At 38.8% G+C, this 19,641-nt stretch overlaps 1 protein-coding gene across 4 annotated transcripts in view; it reads left to right on the forward strand.

Moving 5' to 3' along the window:
- Positions 1-19,641, forward strand: part of CDH20 (cadherin 20) — a 222,350-nt gene that overhangs the window by 139,844 nt on the left and 62,865 nt on the right. For all 4 annotated transcript variants that reach the window (XR_001753187.2, XR_001753186.2, NM_031891.4 and 1 more), the window contains exon 2: positions 17,129-17,526. Coding sequence is in view for 2 of the 4 variants with exons in the window: in NM_031891.4 (NP_114097.2) it covers positions 17,281-17,526 (246 nt within the window). In the remaining 2 variants the exon portion in view is untranslated. The remainder of the gene's footprint in view (positions 1-17,128; positions 17,527-19,641) is intronic.

Genomic DNA, 19,641 nt, shown 5'->3' on the forward strand with positions numbered 1-19,641 from the left:
GTATCAGAATGTATCAGAATGTATTTCCCATTAATAAGGCTTTCTTTTTAGCCTCCTTCTTTAACCTTCATTTACTTTTAATACCGTGAAGAGAAACGTTTGCAAAATCTTTTTTCCTTATTATGGATTAAAGCATGTGGCTTGGTTCCTGTTAGACTGTTCTTAGCCTCATAAGAACAAAAACTGGTAAAGTTTACACGGGTTTCTTTTAGTAATTAGTTACTATATGGAAAAGATAAAAGGGATTATAGGGGAAAAAATAATAAATTTTGCAATAACAGCATTTTCCATTCCAAGGAAACCTAAATTCTTTTACCAACATAGAAAAGAAACATACAGCAATTTTAACTGGTAATGCAGTTTCCACTAGAAACATTTGAACATCTTTGTGGCTTCATTACATGGTATTTACATATCAGAAAGGGGAAAAAATATCAGCATAAAAGCAGTGGAAGCTGACTTGTAATTCCCAAATAACAATGATTTTTCCAGGCAGCAGAGCTAACAATTTTGCCTTGCTCCAAGTGCTACCTGGGATCAATCAGCAGGTCATAAAAAATATCTTTTTAACTGATACTTTATAGCCAGTAAGAGTAGGAATATCTAGAATCAAGCATCATCATCAATTGATTGCACTTGGAAAAGGTAGCTCGTTCTTTTCACTGTATGCTTGTAAATTCAACATTTCTCCTAGGCAAAAATGAGTGAAATGTTATAAATGCTTACTACTATGTAAAATCAGCATTTTAAAACACCATTGATTTCTAGTGTTTGTAAAAGACCCTAAAATCCTTTGCTTCCATCTCCCACCCCTGGCAGGTCTTCCTGCCAAAGTCAGTGTTACACTTCCTCCCCTGCAGTCTCTTGTCCCTATCATCACTCTCTACCGAAAGAAGGGCAGGAGATTTCTAAATCTCCCTAAGCAACCTGTCCCAGTTTATGAGCTTCAAGAAACCTGATGTTGTTTAAATTTCTTCTGCCACTGATTAACACTGTCTTCCCTGTTCCTGGTTCCTAAAGAGATGCTCATCTTCTGTGAAGATGAATTTTTAAAATGTGGATATCATTATTAAGCTGCACTTTGACCTTTTCTCCTCTTGCCTTAAAGATTTCCTTTTTTCAGACACTTAGATTTCATCTTTAGGGCTCCATGGATTTCTTTGAACCTGCTCCAAGTTTCAAGCCGTCCTCATTCTCCAAACCTCTTTTCGTTGTGTAGCTCTCAGAAACTGACAACTTCTGGAGAGGATCCCAGTCCCACCTGCTGGTTCCTCGGGATTCTACTCTTTTAATATTGCGGTACAAGTGCCAAGATTCTCTTCAAGATGAGAATGTTATATTGCTGAATCGTTGTTCACTTTTTATTTAAATAATTCAACTCCAAGTTTTATTATATTCCTGTTGGTGCCGACACCATGCTAATGCTGAGAATACAGAGGTGACAGCCACTGTCCTCAGAGAATTTGCAGGCTAGCATGAAAAGCAACCATGTGGGCTGTGCTGGCATCATGACCAGAGTGGCAGGGGGCACAGAAGACAGGCCCGGGGATCAATAGATGTTCCCTGGAAGAGAGATTGCTTAGCAAGGAAGGGCCGGGGAAAGGCATCTGTCTTCGAGCAAAAACATGAAGAAGGTATTAAAATACAGCATTTATAGTTTATCAGAGGGACCCCAAAAGGTTGAGGAACAGGGAAAGATGAGACAGAATGGTAGAGGGGGAGCCAGATTGTGTAGGTCCTTAAGGTCCTGTCAAGTATAGATTTTATCAGTTAAAAAATGAGGATCCATTAGAGACGTTTAGCAGGTGAGTGGTCCGATAAGATCACTCTGGCAGATAACAGGATAGATGAGAACAGGAATACCAGCCAGAGGGCTGCTGAAGGGATGGAAGTTACAACACCAGAACTATGGCAATGGCAGAAGGAATGGAGAGGAAAGACAGATCTGAGAAAGACTTACAAGGTAGAAATGGTAGAATTTGACAGGTCTAAGTAGCCAGATATAGGGGTGTGAAGGTGGGGATGGAAGAAATCTTACCCTGACTTCTGGATTTTGACTTGGATGGCTAGAAGTGCCAATCTTTGGGCTAGAATAAGCAGAGCAAAGGAAGCTCTAAATAAAATCAGGAGTCAAACTGGAAATAAATGATATCCACTGTGACTCACTAATCTTACATTGTTCAATGAGTATCTCACTTCCAGAAGTTACTAGGTTTTATTTTATTCATCATCACTCTGTTTATCTCCTAGTACTTCTCCAGTGATCCATGTGTCTAAAGCCAAGCCACAGATTTTACCATCGCTTTTACTTGTTGCATATTTGGAAAAATCTCAATGCTTAGTGACCATGACTTTAGACATCCTTAAAAGTATGAATAGATATCATTGATATAGAACCTACTGTATAATAGCATGTGTTATTGCACTAAAGTGGAAAATGATCAATTGATAATAATTCTCCACTAAGTACTGAACCATCAGGATGTTTTCTCTTTTGTTATGCCTGAACAGACATAATCCGAAGTTTTGTACATATAGCCTGCATAGAATTCTCTTCTTTAGAGACACCTGTCACATCATAAATGAAAATTAGACCAGTCTGACTAAACTTGTTCTGTTTTTTAAATAGAAAATAACTTTTTCTTACCCCCTTCTAAATGCAAGAACTTGCCTTTTCATCCTTGAGGGGGATTGGCTCCTTGTATTCTGAGATTGCTAAAGTTCTTCAACATTGAACTCAGTGGTCCTGGATGCCTGTCTGGAATTCCAGGTGTGGCAGAGTGCATTTTCTAAAGAGAGCCACAATATTATCTCCCACCCCGCAGGCTCTTCTGGAGTCTCGCCACATCCCCGTTAAGATGCGTGTGGACTTTCAGTGACTCATAACCAAGAGAATGCCGCAGAAGACATGGCTTCTGCTTCAAGAACAGCAGCATTCACACCAGAGCCTTGATTGCAACTGCCATCCCCAAAGTCATCACTCTGTGACAAAGCCCAAATTAGTGCATGTGGAAATCACATGTAAAGGTGCTAAATGAGACCATCTGGAGAGACAAAGATGCCCGGCAGCCCCCAGTGGCACCAGACCCCCACTGTCCAAGTTCTAGCCACTATCTGATTGCAAACACATGAAAAACCCCACACCAGAATCACGTAGCCAAGATATATCCAAATTCCTGATCCATAGAAAACTGTGAAAATTAATAAAATGACTGCTGTATTAACTACATTTTGAGGTGATTTATTTTATAACAAGAGCTAGCTAGAAAATATGATTTAGTGCCAAAATGATCCAGTAGAAGGTCGATGATAAAGGACCACTGGATGAAATCTCCCTTCCCTCATTACAGGAGAATACAACTGTGGCCCTTAATTCAGGCCTTGGTCTAGTTGGTTACCTTGATACCAAAACTAGGCTGGTTTCTGATGCACTTGAAATGGCTGAGAAGATTCTGACTTAAACAGTTCTCATTCCTGATGGTGCCAGTCACTTCTGGGATTCACGATGGCTTCACTTTGCATTAATGTATACCTAGTTGCAGATCAATTTGTCTTGGGCCATTTGGGAATCTCTCTTTTTTGATAAGTCCTTTGTTAACATAGAACTTCCCAAGAAAAATTAAAATGTAAGTATATATTCAATGATCTTATCAGAGGCTAACTGGACTGAACTTTGTGGGGGCACAAGCACTCGGAATGTACTGAGAGTCCTCATTGAGAACACCTCGCACACTTGCTTGAAAGGTGGTTCCAGTTACTAAACTAGAGAACACTACTGAAGAACCATCGGGGAATTAAAAAAAAACAGCCTCGGAAAATGAGGACATTGAGCCGATCCTTGCCCCATGATTTTATTACTATGATATAATTAGAGGCAGGTTGCTGCTGCAGTCTCTAGGTCAAATAACAACTCTTATCATATACATGTGGCTGGGCATGGTCTGTTGGAGAGATCCAAGACCCAGTGGTACTAAGGAGAAGACAATGTTGCATCTCAGGCTGATAAACAACACCTTCTACAATTATCTTCCATAAAGGTAACTGGGATCTGTAGATAATGGATACTGTCACACTACCAGTCTAGGGTCAGCTAATTCCAACATAACTTGACTTACTGTACTAGTTTATTCTGAAGTATTTCTATAGAATAGATTTTGTACTTATAAAACTGCAAAGTGGCTAAATTCTGTTTTCTGCAATTAAAAGGTGTGTGGCAACAATGTTAGAAATTGATAATAAACAGCGTTCTTGAGAACAGGTTTAAAACCAATTCTCTATCTTCCTTCCAAGACAGTTGCATAGTATTCCGATGCATGAGTATGTCATAATGTTTAGAATCATCTATTGTTGCAAATATGGCTTACACTGATTTTTTGCTCTAATAATGCTAATAAAAATTAAAATATATATTATAATTAGCTCCTTAAGATCCATCAGTAATTTTAAAGACGTGGCACATCATGCAAAATTGTCTTCCAGAAAGCTTTTATCAACCCACACTCCCATCCATATGGTATATGAACAACATATGCTCAGAAACATTGGTTAGCTTAGTTCTTTTTTAATGTTTGCTAATTTAATAGGTTGAAATGATATTTTATTATTTGTATTCTTAAGCTAATTGTGAAAGTAAAATGTTTTTTGAGGCCAGGCACGGTGGCTCACTCCTGTAATCCCAGCACTTTGGGAGGTCGAGATGAGCAGATCACTTGAGGTCAGGAGTTCAAGACCAGCCTGGCCAACATGGTGAAACTGTGTCTACTAAAAATTAAAAAGTTAGTCAGACGTGGTGGCACATGCCTGTAGTCCCAGCTACTTGGGAGGCTGAGAAAGAAGAATCACTTGAACCCAAAAGGTGGAGGTTACAGTGAGCTGAGATTGTGCCACTGCACTCCAGCCTGGGCAACAGAGCGAGACTCTGTCTCAAAAAAAAAAAAAAAGTAAAATGTTTTTCATATATTTATTGATCATTTTATTTCTGCCTTTCTGAATTTTTCTTATTGTCATTTGATCACTCTTTTTTGGAATAATATTTTAAATGTTGAGCATAAAGATTTCTAAATATGTTAAGGACAATAAGCCCTCGTTTTCTCTTGCATGTTGCCTGTTTTTAGTATATAAAATATAACAATTTCTAATAACTGTTTAATTCAATATCTCAACATTTTTCTTTTCTACCTTTGATAAAGGTAGGGATAAAGGTTCTCTGGGAATCTTTCCCTACCTTTCTTATAATACTGGGAACGCAGTATTATAAAAATAGTATTCACCTGCATGTTTTCTCAGTAGCTTGTTTTTGTTTTTCCGTGTATTCTACTAACCCACATGTTGTAATTGTTCCCATTTAACTATTCAGTGCATGAGGAGTAAACAGTGGATGGTGAAGAATAGAGATGTAGCCTCTTCTTTAACCCCAGTTAACCAACTTAGTGAAGAAGTCTTTTTTCCCAAATATGTAACACAGATGAAGGTGGAGCTTAGTAAACGGGAAAGTGGCAATAAAGAACGGGGGAAGTAAGAAGACAGCTGAGCCTAGAAGTTTCATAATAGATCTTGAAAAAGCTTTAGAATTTCTAATGTCTAGAAGAGCATAGTTCTGAAAATCTCTGTACTAAAGTATTTCCACTTCCTTGATCCTGTGAAACTGCAATTGAAAGACACCATAAATATAAATTTATATTATATAAATATAATAGTCTCAAGTTTTGGAGGAATAAACACACTAACATGTAAGTGTGTACACTGATATATCCATTCTGCTCTCAGAAACACTTAAAGTGTGGAAAAAATAGTTCTGAAGTATATAAAATATCTTCACTACATCTATTTCAAACCTTTCTTTTCTATTTAATTCCTTTATATTTATTTTGCTTATTTGAATATGTTCTTTTAAATTTTTGAGTCAGTTTTTATTTTATTGCAAGTAGAATATTTGCATGGGCCAAAAAAAAACCCAAGATGGCTCTGAAAGACTTATAATAAAAGGAAAAACCATCCCCTGCTCCAACCTCAAAACCCAATCTCAAAAGGTAAACCCCAAAGTTATTTATTCGAGTATTTGCCAATACATTTCTAAGTCATATGCTTATATATATTTATTGAAATACCTATTCTAGATATTAGCAGTTGGTGTTCCAGTGGGGTAATTGAGCTCTTAGTTCTTTTTACACATATTCCCATCCACTCTCCCCTCCTTCGCCCTTCAACAGTTATATTTCAGTACTAACTAAAAGAATAGCCAATGTTTATTTATTATGGATAAATGTTGTTTTCTACTGAGCAAAGTTATACCTGAAGATTTAATGCCCTTCTTATAGAACTTTGTGTTTTTCTTGGTTAACAATTGCCTAGGGTTTTCTTTTCTTGTCTTCTCTATGTGTGTGTCACTATTTTTCCCCCCTAATGCTCAAAAAATCTGTCCTGTGCCTATCAATAATTTATCCAAATCCTGGAAGCTTCTCAGTCACTCCAACACTTCATTTCTTTCCTGGAGCCCTCCCTCCCCTCACCTGGCTGCTGTACTCACAGCCTGGTAAGCAACTGCTATTCTGGGCCTTCTCCCTGCCAGTCTCCTTTGTTGGATCCCCTTTCTCTTGGGTCCTATATCTTTGTAAGTTTACCATTTTGCTAAAATACACTGAATTTCTCATTAGTAATACTAGGTGCTAGAAGACAGTGGAGCAATTTTCATCATAGACTTCCATGGTGAAAGTCTATCTTGAAAAAGCTGTCACTGAAATGAAAGGGTAGAATAAAAACATTCTAAAAGGAAATGTGAATATAGTCTTATAGTGAGGATTGGACTAATGAAGAGATTACAGGTTCAAGGAAAAGGGAATTACCAAAGAATAGGTGGAGGCTGACCTTGAAAAGAATTAGAGGAAAAAAGATCTTCTCATATCACCTTCCCTCCCCCAAATTAAGAAAGTTAAAATCTAAGCCATCAGAGGTAACTCTGACGGTCATATCCCTTTAACTTAACAATATTACATATTATTAGGTGTGAACCTCGAATATCTGAGACAGGTCTTAGTTAATTTAGAAAGTTTATTTTGCCAAGGTTGAGGACTCATGCCTGTGACACAGCCTCAGGAGGTCCTGACGACATGTGCCCGGGATGGTCAGGGCACAGCTTGATTTTATACATTTTAGGGAGACATGAGACATCAATCAATTTATGTAAGATGTACATTGGTTCTGTCCAGAAAGGTGGGACAACTCGAAGCAGGGACAGGACTTCCAGGTCACAGGTAGGTGAGAGACAAATGGTTGCACTGAGTTTCTCATTAGCTTTTTCAAAGGAGGGACTCATATATGCATTTATCTCAGTGACCAGAGGGATGACTTCGAATAGGATGGGAGGCAGGGTTGCCCTACGCAATTCTCAGATTGACTTCCCTTTAACTTAGAGATCTTGGATCCGAAGATTTATTTTCCTTTCACATAGGTCACTGTAATTTCTCAAATCCCAATTTCCTCATAAGATTTCCAAGTATTTCTGCAAATGATGCTTTAACTTTACATTACAAGTGATCTCACAGTTCTAGTAGACTTCTGACACATAAGGATTATGTTGTCTGCTCAAGAACAAAAAAAGCATTTGTGAAAACTCACTGCTTTCTTGACTTTTGTTGACTTTGTATTGTCTTTATCTCTGCCTCTTAATATGTTCACTAATTGTTGCAGGTGTGAACAGACATTAAAATCAGTATGGGAATACACTGATTAAATCAAAGTAAAAGCTTGAAGGTAGAAAGAATAACATTAAACTGTTAAATACTTTTCTACCGTTTAAAAATACATTGACAGTTAATATTTACTGAGCACCTAGTATGTGCCAAGTACTGCCCATAGATACATGGATAAAAGATATTACCCATGTCTTCAAAGAGCTTACAATATGGAGAAAAAACAGACAAGTAAATAATTACAATACAGAATAATGAAGTGCCAGGAAAGAAAATGCACAAACTGCTTTGAATAGATAGATAAAAAGGGAAACATGTAGGAAGTTAAAAATACATATATATTTTCAACTTAATCTATAGTATTAGGTCGTGATAATCTGTAATACTCCTTTAAAGAAGATTATTATTCTCATATTTGAGGCTCAAAAGGATTAAGCAATATATTGGATGTCACACATCGAGTGGCAGAGCTGGAATTGGTCTTAAACCGCGATGTCCTGATTCCAAATGATACACTATGTTCTAAAAGAGATTTCTTTTCCTGAAAGCATGTATTAGAAGACAAGGTTTTACTTTCCTTCAACAAGATACATAATAAACATCAGTGAGATTTTTGGTTTGTTTTGTTAGGGCATTAAAAGGCAAATTTTTCTTTTTCTTGAACAGATTGCCCCTTTCTTTTGTTTTCTTTACATTTATATGGCATCAGATGCCATTGCCCATACACATTAGTATCATATTAATTTTTTTACATATATATTTTTTAAATAGAGACGAGGTTTTGCCCTGTTGCCCAGGCTGGTCTTGAATTCCTAGCCTCAAGCAATTCTCCCCATACCCAGCCTTCCAAAGTGCTAGGATTACAAGTATGAACCCACCATGCCTGGCCCAACATTACTTTGGCATGCTCAAAAACCTTCAGTTGCTCACTATGAACTATCAAGCATATTTCAAATGTTTCAAACCAATATCCCCAGCTCCTAGCTAGACCACATTATTCTAGCGTGAGAGGGGATTGTGTAAAGTAAATAAGAACTGAGAAATAGACAAATAAAAAAAAAAAAACCCTAGCTAAGTTGAAGTTAAAGATAAATTTTACCAGGTTAGCCACAGAGAAGCCACGTCCAGGTACAGCACCAGGACAGGGAAGCTGGATTCAGAGCTGTATCTCAGGGAGGGGTGAGGTGTGCTCTAAGAAAAAGCAGCTCACATTCGTTATGCCCAAAGCCCCTTTGAAGTGTGGACGAAAAAGAGAAAGTTCCTGCCTCTTTAAATAATCAGAGTAGAATGATGAATTTTTTATTCCTGCGTATAAAACCAAATTTATCACGTTGGCTCTAACTAGCACCTCCTCCCAACTTCCTGCCCTAACCCAGGCACAGAAGTTTAAGTCATGATTGTTTCATCTTTTCCAGTTCCAACTTTTCTTCATATCCAGTTAGTCTGCAAGTGTTAGAGACTCTGCCTCCTTGATGTTTCAGACGTCTGGCCAATCCTTCCCTCCCCTGGATCCTTGGTTGAAGTTCTCCTTACCAATTTTCCCTGGACTCTTAACTGATTTTCCCACCTTCTCTCCAGAAACACTACTAAACAGAGATTTATCAACATTACTTTGTTCTCCTTTTTCTTTACACATATATGGCCTCAGATGCCATTGCCCACATATATTAGTATCATATTAACTTTACTTTTTTTTTACATATATATATTTTAAATAGAGACGGGGTCTTGCCCTGTTGCCCAGGCTGGTCTTCAACTCCTAACCATAAGCAATCCTCCCCCAACCCAGCCTTCCAAAGTGCTAAGATTACAAGTGTGAACCACCACAACTGGCCCAACATTACTTTGGCATGTTCAAAAACCTTCAGTTGCTCACTATGAACTATGGAGTATATTCCAAATACTTCAATCCAATATCCCCAGCTCCTAGCTAGTGGTTTTTATCTGGATTTCCTGCCTCCCTCATCCCTCCTCAGTCTCCTAAAGTGACCCTATTCTCTAAGCAAATTAAATTATTATTAATCTCCCAGACAGGCCCTTTGCATCCTGCATCTGCACCATGGTATCTGCGTTTTCTTTAACTGGGAATGCCCTTTTATTTTTCAGGGTCTAGTTCATATGTTCCCTTAAGCCTTTCTCCTCCTGATGGAAATCATTTCTCCCTTTTCTGATCTGGCCTAGCATTTTGTTTTTTAAGGGGTCCTGTAACCCTCATCACCAATAGATCTGTGCCAGTCAGTCACGTGCTAAGCACCTCTTGTACAGTCACTCCTGACGAAGAATTCCAGTTCATCCTCTTCCTAACTATGTAGCATTTGCCAATACCCATGGTATAAATACACCATGGCCAATTTCAAGGCATTGAGAGGCCTTGAAAGTGAGAGGCTTTGAGGCATTGAGAGGCTCCGGTGAAAGGTGATAGGAGTTGACCCCACCACCTCACTGTTTGTTTCTTTGTAAACTGAGGAAACAAAACATTTTTGTGGAATCCTTGTAAGGATTAAATGACAAAGTAAATGTAAATTACTTGACACAGCCTGGCGTAAACACTCCATGTCATTACCTCTGCTGTTATTGCTTCTGTTGCTGCTGCTGCTACACTATTATTGTTAATAATGGTATGTATACCTATGCCTATTCCTATTATTATTTCTATCACTAGTATTAATGGTAATACCTCCCTCCTAAACTGTAAACTCCTTGAAGGAGGAAAAGGAAACCAATATTTATTGAGCATCTACTATTTTACAGGCACAAGACTTTAACCATCTCTCAAATGTCTAAGAGTTTCATATATACTTTTTTCTCACTTAATTACAATCACCCTGTGAGATAGAGTCTATAATTACCTCCAGTTTGTAAATGACAAACAGAGACATAAAGAGATGAAGTCACTTCTTCAAGATTGCATAGATAGTAAGTGGTAGGGCTGAAACTCACTGAAGTTTGGCTGGCTTTCCAATCCATTTTTTGATTAAACATATTGATACTCAAGATTTAAGTCTTACGTTTAGGTAGCAAACTTACCTTTGCCAAAAAATCTTCTTCCTGTGAATTATTTTTTATGGGTCAAGGAAAACTGCAGGATTTTCCTAACTTCCTAAAATGCTGTACAAAGGCAAAGTCATAAGAGAAAACACTGAGTAGCAATTACTTGCAACTTCTTAACAAAGAAGAATGTTAGCCACATAATTTCATTTTAAATACATGCTTTTTATAAAGAATGAGCACAGATTTAATGCAATTATAAATGTCACATAAAACAGGAAATTAGTAGGCATGTGGAACAAGTCTCAGAAATCAAAATTGATCATTCTTGTCTAACTGTAGTCAGAGAAATTGCCCATAGACTGGGCTGTAGTTTCATTAGCTTGATTAAAAGTGAAAACTGGAGGAAGGGTAAAGTAGGTCAAAAACTTCCTGACTCCTTGAGGATTAAAACATTTACTAGATACTAAGTATGGGTGAAAGGATCAGTAACAATCTATTCGCCAGCCTTGGCGGATACGGAAAGAAAGACAGGGCACCCTGGACTGCAAAAATTGATTATAGCAAGAATGAAAAGCACAGAGGAATTGGGCATGAACTCTAGAGCAAGGATTTCTAAAGTGAAAATGCCTTTATTTATGACCCAAGCTAGGGAATTCATAGCTAGAGGGTCAGCATGTATACAGGTAACATATGGCAAGTTTTATTATGGGACTGACCAAGTTTTTCAAAGCCAGGGCTCTTAATTATATAATTCAAGCTTTCTACCAATTTTTTTTGCTCTACTCCACACACACACACACACACACACACACACACACACACACACACACACACATCCCTACCATTATACAAAACTAGATATTGCTCCTAAACTGCAATTAAGCTACTGTTTACCTTCCCCTTACCCACATCCACCCCATAGTTCCATTTATGAGCTCCCAGTCTCATTTACAAAACAGCACTCTCGCATAAACTGGTTGGGTGGTGGGAAGGAGAGGGAAAATAAGTAGGAGTGGTGGGAAAGAGAAGATTTCAGAGAACTGACAATGGCCTGAGTGAACATGATAACAGCTGAACTTTTAGCCTCAGGAGTGCCACCATTTTTGAGGAACTTGATGGAGAAGGAATTCATAGAAAGATAAATAATGAGAATTAGAATAAGCAAGAGTGGTGACCACCTTTTCCAAGAAATCTCCAAGGAAATTAAGCATTCCTTTTCTTCTTCTGTTCAATTTCTTAAAAAGGTAATACTGTAATTCTTCGATTCTCCATACACCATCAATGTATTAACAGCTTCTCTGAGGAGTGAGGAAAGCCTACTATGAGAACATTAAATATGTAAACATTGATTTTTAAGATATATCTCATTTCAGAAATGTTAAGTTGGGAGGAGGGGTGTGGTGAAGCAGGTGAGAGTTAGGTAGGGGAGTGGAAGTGAGAGTACAACTCAAAATTCAGCAAATCTAGTGCCTGGACTACCTCTTCTGACCCTGTTGGGAGTTGGTTGCCTCCACAGATGGGTGGCTTTGGGTAGGCTGGTGAGTTGATGACCACAAAAGAGCCATGGAGCTTCCACTCACCTAATGACTGTCCCAGAAGAAACTGGGATGGATAGAACCTCTGTAGTAAATGAAAATTAAGCTATCACTTTTACTTATAGAAAGAGCCTCAAAAATGCACTTAGAAGAGAGCCTTTATGGAGATCTTAGATATTACAAGAAAACATGACAGTATATCATAAGGTGCATCAACATTAAATCAGAATACAGCTCAATGTCATAGTGCTATTCCACCTCCCAGTCAAGGTTCTCTCTCGAGAAATAGAAAAAAACCCATTTTGGCCAGGTGCGGTGGCTCACGCCTGTAATCCCAGCACTTTGGGAGGCCGAGGTGGGCGGATCACGAGGTCAGGAGATCGAGACCATCCTGGCTAACATGGTGAAACCCGGTCTCTACTAAAAATACAAAAAATTAGCCGGGTGTGGTGGCGGGCACCTGCAGTCCCAGCTACTCGGGAGGCTGAGGCAGGAGAATGGCGTGAACCCGGGAGGCGGAGCTTGTAGTGAGCTGAGACTGCGCCACTGCAGTCCAGCCTGGGCGACAGAGCGAGACTCCATCTCAAAAAAAAAATAAAATAAATAAACAAACCCATTTTACTTAGGAGTTAAAATCCTTCTGTATAGAGTACAGAAGAAATAAGAACTTAGTAAATGAAAACAACTTCTGGTCAGAGAACTGTGTCCCCTTTCAGCATATAAAACCATACTATCCACCCTGTCCAAGACAGATCCCTAGTGATGGACTTTGGTCAGTAGCAGAAACATACACAAACAAATCCAGAAATGTTGAAAGTTTATTTAGAGGAGCACTCGAACTATTTTCTTTATGGGATTCTACAATGGGAATATTATTGTTTGTGAACCATACATACTGAAATACACGAACAACTTTTTACTCCAATTTATACTGGTGACCACCTGTGTCATTCTCTGGGGTTTTGTACTCTATACAAAAGGATTTTAACTCCTAAGTAAAATGGGTTTGTTGCTATTTCTCAAGAGAGAAACTTGATTGGGAGGTGGAATAGCATTATGACATTAAGTTGCATTCTGATTTAATGTTGATGCACCTTATGGTACACTGTCATGTTTCATTGTACTATCTAAGATCTCCATAAAGTCTCTCTTTTAAGTGCATTTTTGAGACTCTTTCTATAAGCAAAAATGATAGCTTAAGAAGTTTGGCTCTTAAAACCATGACACCACTGTCTGCATTTACCTCTCTTAAAGGCATTAGGCCACATCAGAACCTTAAAACACCCCATCTTCTTAAACAAAGTCACGGAGTCGACTGACTGCTTCTATAGAGATGTCATTTGAGCTTTGCTAAGCAGTAGTTCCATTAACCATGAAAAGCTCAGGAAAACTGGAATAATGAGGAAAGAAATCAGAGCAAGACCATAAAAGCCCAGTTCATTTCAAGGAGAAAGCAGTAACCATCCCTCCCCACTACATTTTAAATATCACAACGAATTTACGTAACAAACTAAACAATTCACTGAAAGCACACTTTATGTACAACTTTAATTTCTTCCTACTGTGTTCATTACCAAGCTGTTTTCTTTCTTTAGGGAGGATGAAGGGGAAACTTTTAAAAGACTCATTTAACACAGAAGTCAATTTCCACTAATGTATTCTTCATGTGGCATATGTAGTCTTCCAAAGCAGATCTATATATACAAATACACATGTATCAGTATCTTCTTTTATAAGAACAACAGCAATTAGCCCACCCCAAACACATTATTGCTATTCATATCCTCTAGGGAAAAACATGAATATGAGAACCACCTCATTTATAATAAATGCAAACTGATTAGTATTTCTGATAGAACTGTTTTGTAAAAAACACCTCTAATTGTGAAAAGAATAATGCGACTATTGTATAACCCAGCTTTTACCTTCTAGAAAGTTAGGCAGGGAGTCTTTTTCATGCATTCATCCCTAAGGAAGTAGAAATAAAGTGCTTTGCACCAACTGTTGCTATCAAGTTATATAAGACAGAAAGAGTTGGTACGACATTGCGGTCTTTGTGATTTGGGGTGTGTAAAGGTACCATCAGCTTTCACAGAATCACCAAGGGCTCCCCCGGTCAAGATCCCAAAGTCACCTTTGTACGTGTTCAGTGGAGGGGAGGAAAATAAGAATTTGCACTAGTGTGTAGGAGGCCAAAGTAGAAAAGAGGGAGAGATGAAAACAGGCAACCTGACCGCCTACAAAATATTCATCACAGATTTCAAAGAAGGCTTTTCTCCTTGAGCTCTTCAGATCATGCCTCAGGTAGGGGGATAGGGGGTTTTAATTGGGAGGAACACATGCCTAGTTAGAAATGGGGAATATAAAAAACACTACTTACAATTCCTCAAATCTCATTCTGTACATAAAATGTAGCCAGTGGAAGCAGAAGAGGAGACATCTGCACATAGCACACATGCATGCACAGGCACTCTTAGATTCAAAGCAAGTTGCTACAACCAGCCAGAGAAAATAACAGACATGTGTGCTTAGGCAAAATATAGGTAAGAAACAAAGACATTAAGGGGAATACACTAAATAGAATACGTACATACATATATATATATATGTACGTATATATGTATGTATAGTGAGTTCTAGCTTTAATCAACGCAATCCGCAAAATAATTTTCTTTACTATTGAAGAGTTTTCTAATAGCTAGCCCTTGATTAAATCTCCTCAAATGGAACGCAAGTGTTTGGTTATTACAGAATTAGACTGAGCCAGAATCTGCTACCAGACGGGACTTATCACAGATGTAGAGATCTGAAAAATAACAGATATATATTATAAGCCCTTTCAGAATTCTGGCCCCAAAGGTATCCATAAAATATATATTTCTGGCTTAGCTCCATGATTTTTACATATGACCCAGGTACTTTATCTGACTGTTCAAATGTCGGTTGGCACCTTAGTCATTTACAGGGCACTTTTTTGCCTGCATGATCCCATCAGACTCTTGTGATGGTCCAGTGAGGTAGGTGGGAGAATTATTGGCCCTGCTTAATAGATGAGGAAACTGAAATTCATACAACTAAATAAGTCAGAGGTAATGAAGATAGAACCAGTAACCAAACTGTCTCTTAGTCTAATGCACTTTGAGGAATTATAGATACATTGTGTCTTACAATATACAGAATATTGCTTTTATGGTTTACTAATCACAGCATTCTGGCAGTGGCTTTTTTTTTGTTTGTTTGTTTGTTTGTTTTGGCAATGCCCTTTAGTCTGCCTTCTAGGCCCCTAAAACAGCACAGCTATTTCTCACTAATCTTTGTCATCAATTCGTTTCCTGGGTTAAATTCCTTCTTCCCAAACACCTCCCTGTAGACAGGGATCAGAGAAACATGAACTGGGCTTCTCTGTTCCCTAAGGGAAGATGTCCACCAGTCCAAAGAGAGAGAGAACAGCTAATATTTGGTAACCCACCTGCTAGCAGCACCATTGTTCTTTATTAGCAAACCCATTGCCCTCAATGAGGTGCACCTGGCTTGCTTTTTCTTAACACTCAATCTGCCTTCAGAGCTGGAGCTCATAAGAGGCACAGCCTCCCATTCTGCTACAAAAATTCTATAGTCTCCTCAGCTACTTTCTCTATCATTTCTCATTAAAATGATTTATTATACAGAAATGAAATGGCATATTGTATTAAATAATTATAAAGTAGTTTAAAATTTCTTTTGTACATTTCAATCATGAGTATTTGAGAGGAAGCTGAAACCAGTTCTGATGACAGGTGGAAGGTAGTAACTAAGTTAGCATCAATGCATTCACTTCAAACCACTTGAAGAAATGAAGTGTTATTTAGTTTCACAGAGCTGCAATCTCCAAATACACACATTTGTTCTCAGATGACAGCAGTTCTTCGAATTAACAGTGAAAATATTAAGCCGAAGGAAGACATTTTGGTTGTCTTGACAGGTTGACTTGAGTGTTATGCCATCTCATTAAACCAAGCCAAGTAAGGGAAGAAAAGATTGATGAGGCCATAGCCCAGAAGTGAGGTCACCAGCTAAATGTGACCACATAGCAACAAAAGAAGTTTGACTGATAAAGATGTGTCCCCACGGTAGAAGTCCTTTTCCCTAAATGAGTCCTTCAGGTCAAGAAAGGAGATTTGTTGACTAGATTCTCTTAGCTTGCTCCCATAGGCATGTGACTAATAGCACTTTAAAGTCTGTTGTGAAGGATATAATGATCAACTGACCATTTAAATCCTGGAAAGGTCACATTAGCAGCCCCTATCAGTGCTTCGGAGCCAAAACAGTAGAGTGTGAAACTTGAAATCCACTGTGAGCTCAGAAAATGATTAAAGTCAGAAGTGAGCCCTGGCTGCTTATAAATGAAGTCCAAGATTTCTAGCATTATCAATAACAGCAGTAGGCACAAGATCATTGTGGGTGACCAAAAAAAAACAAGGTAGTTGGATTTTACTATTTTTTTAATAAGCAAAGAAAAGCAGTTGGGCTAATGGAAATATTAGTTATTAGCTGTAAATTTTGTAAATGAATGCTGCTTTTAAGAGTTTAAGAGCCTGTCTGATCATAAATATTTCAAAGAGCACACTATTAATTCAAACCAATCAATAATACAGTATAACCCTCCAGCTAAGTTACCAATGAGAAGAAATTTATTCATCAGTTTTATTCCCACCGAATCTATATCCAAAGGTTTGGGATTGATTATAGCAAGATGTGTTGTCTTATTATCAAAATAGTATTTATTACTCAAACATTTCTAAAGCAATAACCTGTTATGACTTTTTAACTCATTGAGTAGAAAGTTGAATATTTACTGACATTTCTTGAAAACTTGCAACCCGCCTGCAGGAAAGAATCTGACATCATCACACTGTGTTTTCCTTAACTTGACAGGAAGTCAACTTCAAGCAGATTGACTTGAAACGGGATCTCATTTAGGAAGCATAAGTGTCCAATCAAAAACTGTGTATTTTTTTAAATTTGGAAAATACTCAAGTTCCAGTTGCTTATCATTCTCCTTCATTTTCTGAAAACCTGGCAATCCCATGTGGACTTCTGGTAGAATGAGCAATGCAAAGAACTGGCTTGGACTTGGCATGTCCTTGTACTTCTGGGGGCTGATGGACCTTACGACCACCGTTCTCTCGGACACCCCAACACCACAAGGTGAATTAGAAGCACTCCTGTCAGACAAGCCACAGTCACATCAGCGGACCAAGAGGAGCTGGGTTTGGAACCAGTTTTTCGTTCTGGAAGAGTACACTGGGACCGACCCTTTGTATGTCGGCAAGGTAAGAAATGCCAAGTAGAAATGACCCGGGTATTGGATATTGAAATTGAATATGAATTGAGTATCAAAGTTGACCTAGCCTTTATCTGAGACCTGAGAAAAACTAGAACAAGTGGTACGTTACTTGACACCTAGCTAAAATGTAACTTCTGCTTTGTCAGAGACCAGTCTGAAAGGAAAGATTTATTTCCTTGTCCATGTCTCTGTTATGAATGGGAAAAAGTGGGAATTGGGATTTGGAGGAAAAGGCTCAGACCCTGCAAGAGCTATTCAAGTCCTAAAAGAGGCAGCAGCAGCTGTCTGGGAATGACAGAATGGGTGAGAGGGAAACTTGGAAATACAAGAAGAGTACAGAGTTTTTTGCTTTGTGTTTTTGTGGGGTTTTTTTCAGAGCATTTCCAGAGGTATTGCCTGAGGTGCAAATTTAATGAAAAAAATAAACATTTTTCATTTCAGAAGATCTTAGCATGTGCTTTAGGATAGTTGGAGACAATAAATATATTTATAAATGTTATATTTGAATTCTCTTGATTTAATCTATCATTATTTCATCTTTAATCCTGGATTTTTCCTGTGTTTACTTTATTGGGGTGTTAATTACAGACCATTTTGTGAAAGCAACCAAGTGAGAGAGAATGGGAGACAAGAAACTAATTAGAAAATAACTAATTCATTCAAATGGTAACTTAAACGCTTGTTTAGCACAGAGGCTGGGAGCATGGGTTTCAGATTCAAACACAGGTGGGTTCAAAGCCCAGCCCTGCCAATTATTTCTAGAGGAACTTTGGACAGGTCACCAAGCCCTGCTCATCTCGGCTTCCTCAAATTCGAATGAGATTGAGAGAACTGCTCCTTCTCAAGTGTTGTCTACCCAAGTTCTTTCCCCAGTGTCCACTCACTTCTTAACCCAGGTATCTGGCTTTGGTCCCTACCTCTGACCCAAAGCTGTGTTTTCATTGCTTCTCAAGACCTCTCTACTGCCCAATCACACCTCCCAGTCACAACCTCAGACACTGCTGACCTGTCTCTCCTTGACTCATTGTCCTATCTGTGCCATGACCTTCACAATCCCGTTTTTCCTTCTTTTTTCTCAGCCGCGTTTGTGGGTCCTCTCCTTCCACCTGACCCCATTTGTTGGTGGGCTTGTCAGCTTTGCCCTAGCCTCTTCTCCACACACTCATTCCCTGGGTGGACTCGCCACCTCTGCAGTTTTGAATGCCATGTCTATGCCAATGAATGCAAAACCTCTATCTCTGGCTTAGACCACTTTGGGTTATAAATTCTACTGCACATGTGACATCTCCACATCTACTCATAGGCCTTTCCAATGTAGTGTGTCCAGTAAGAAACTCTTGTTTTTTTTCTCCTAAACGTAGTCTGCCCCAACACCCACCCATTATTTCCTAAAACCAGAGAACTGGGGATCATTCCTCCCTTTCCCCTGCCCACACATTCTCTCCCTCTGCAAATTCTGCTAGTCCTATGCCAGAATCAACCCCAAATCCTGCATTTCTCTTATCCCTGCTTCCACCATCATCTGTCACCTGGGCAAGTACCTAGCCTCCCAACCAGTCTCCTCATGTCCACCTGCACCTCCCTCCCATCTGTTCTCCACCATGGTCTTTTTAAAATTTAAGTCACATCATGTCACTCCTCTACTTACGTCTCTTCAATGTTTTCCCACTGTGCATTGAATCCTCCAGACACCTCCCCACAGCTAACAAGACCATCCCTTTCTGGATCAGCCTGCCTCCTGGCATCCACCCATGGCCCATGCTACTCTCTCCCTCATTCTCGCGTTGCAGCGGTATGACCTTTGACAGTTCCTACAACCTGTCAAGCACTGCCTTTACTGCTCCCCCATAATGAAATGCCCTTCCCCTGGCTTCTCTCATGACTTCCTTGGCCACTCTCTAAGGCAAGCCCCTCTGTTAGACTCTCTTTCACAGCCCTAATCACAACCACCATATTTGTTTCTTATTTACATGTTTATTGTCTGAAGCCTCTGACTAAAACTAGAAGCTCAATGAAAGCAAGAACATTGCTCCCATTTTATCCCCAAGGCCTAACACAGCATTTATCTTATAGAAGGTGCTCAAGATGACATTTAATAAAT

The sequence above is a fragment of the Homo sapiens genome, chromosome 18 (assembly GCF_000001405.40).
Source record: "Homo sapiens chromosome 18, GRCh38.p14 Primary Assembly".
Lineage (NCBI taxonomy): Eukaryota > Metazoa > Chordata > Mammalia > Primates > Hominidae > Homo > Homo sapiens.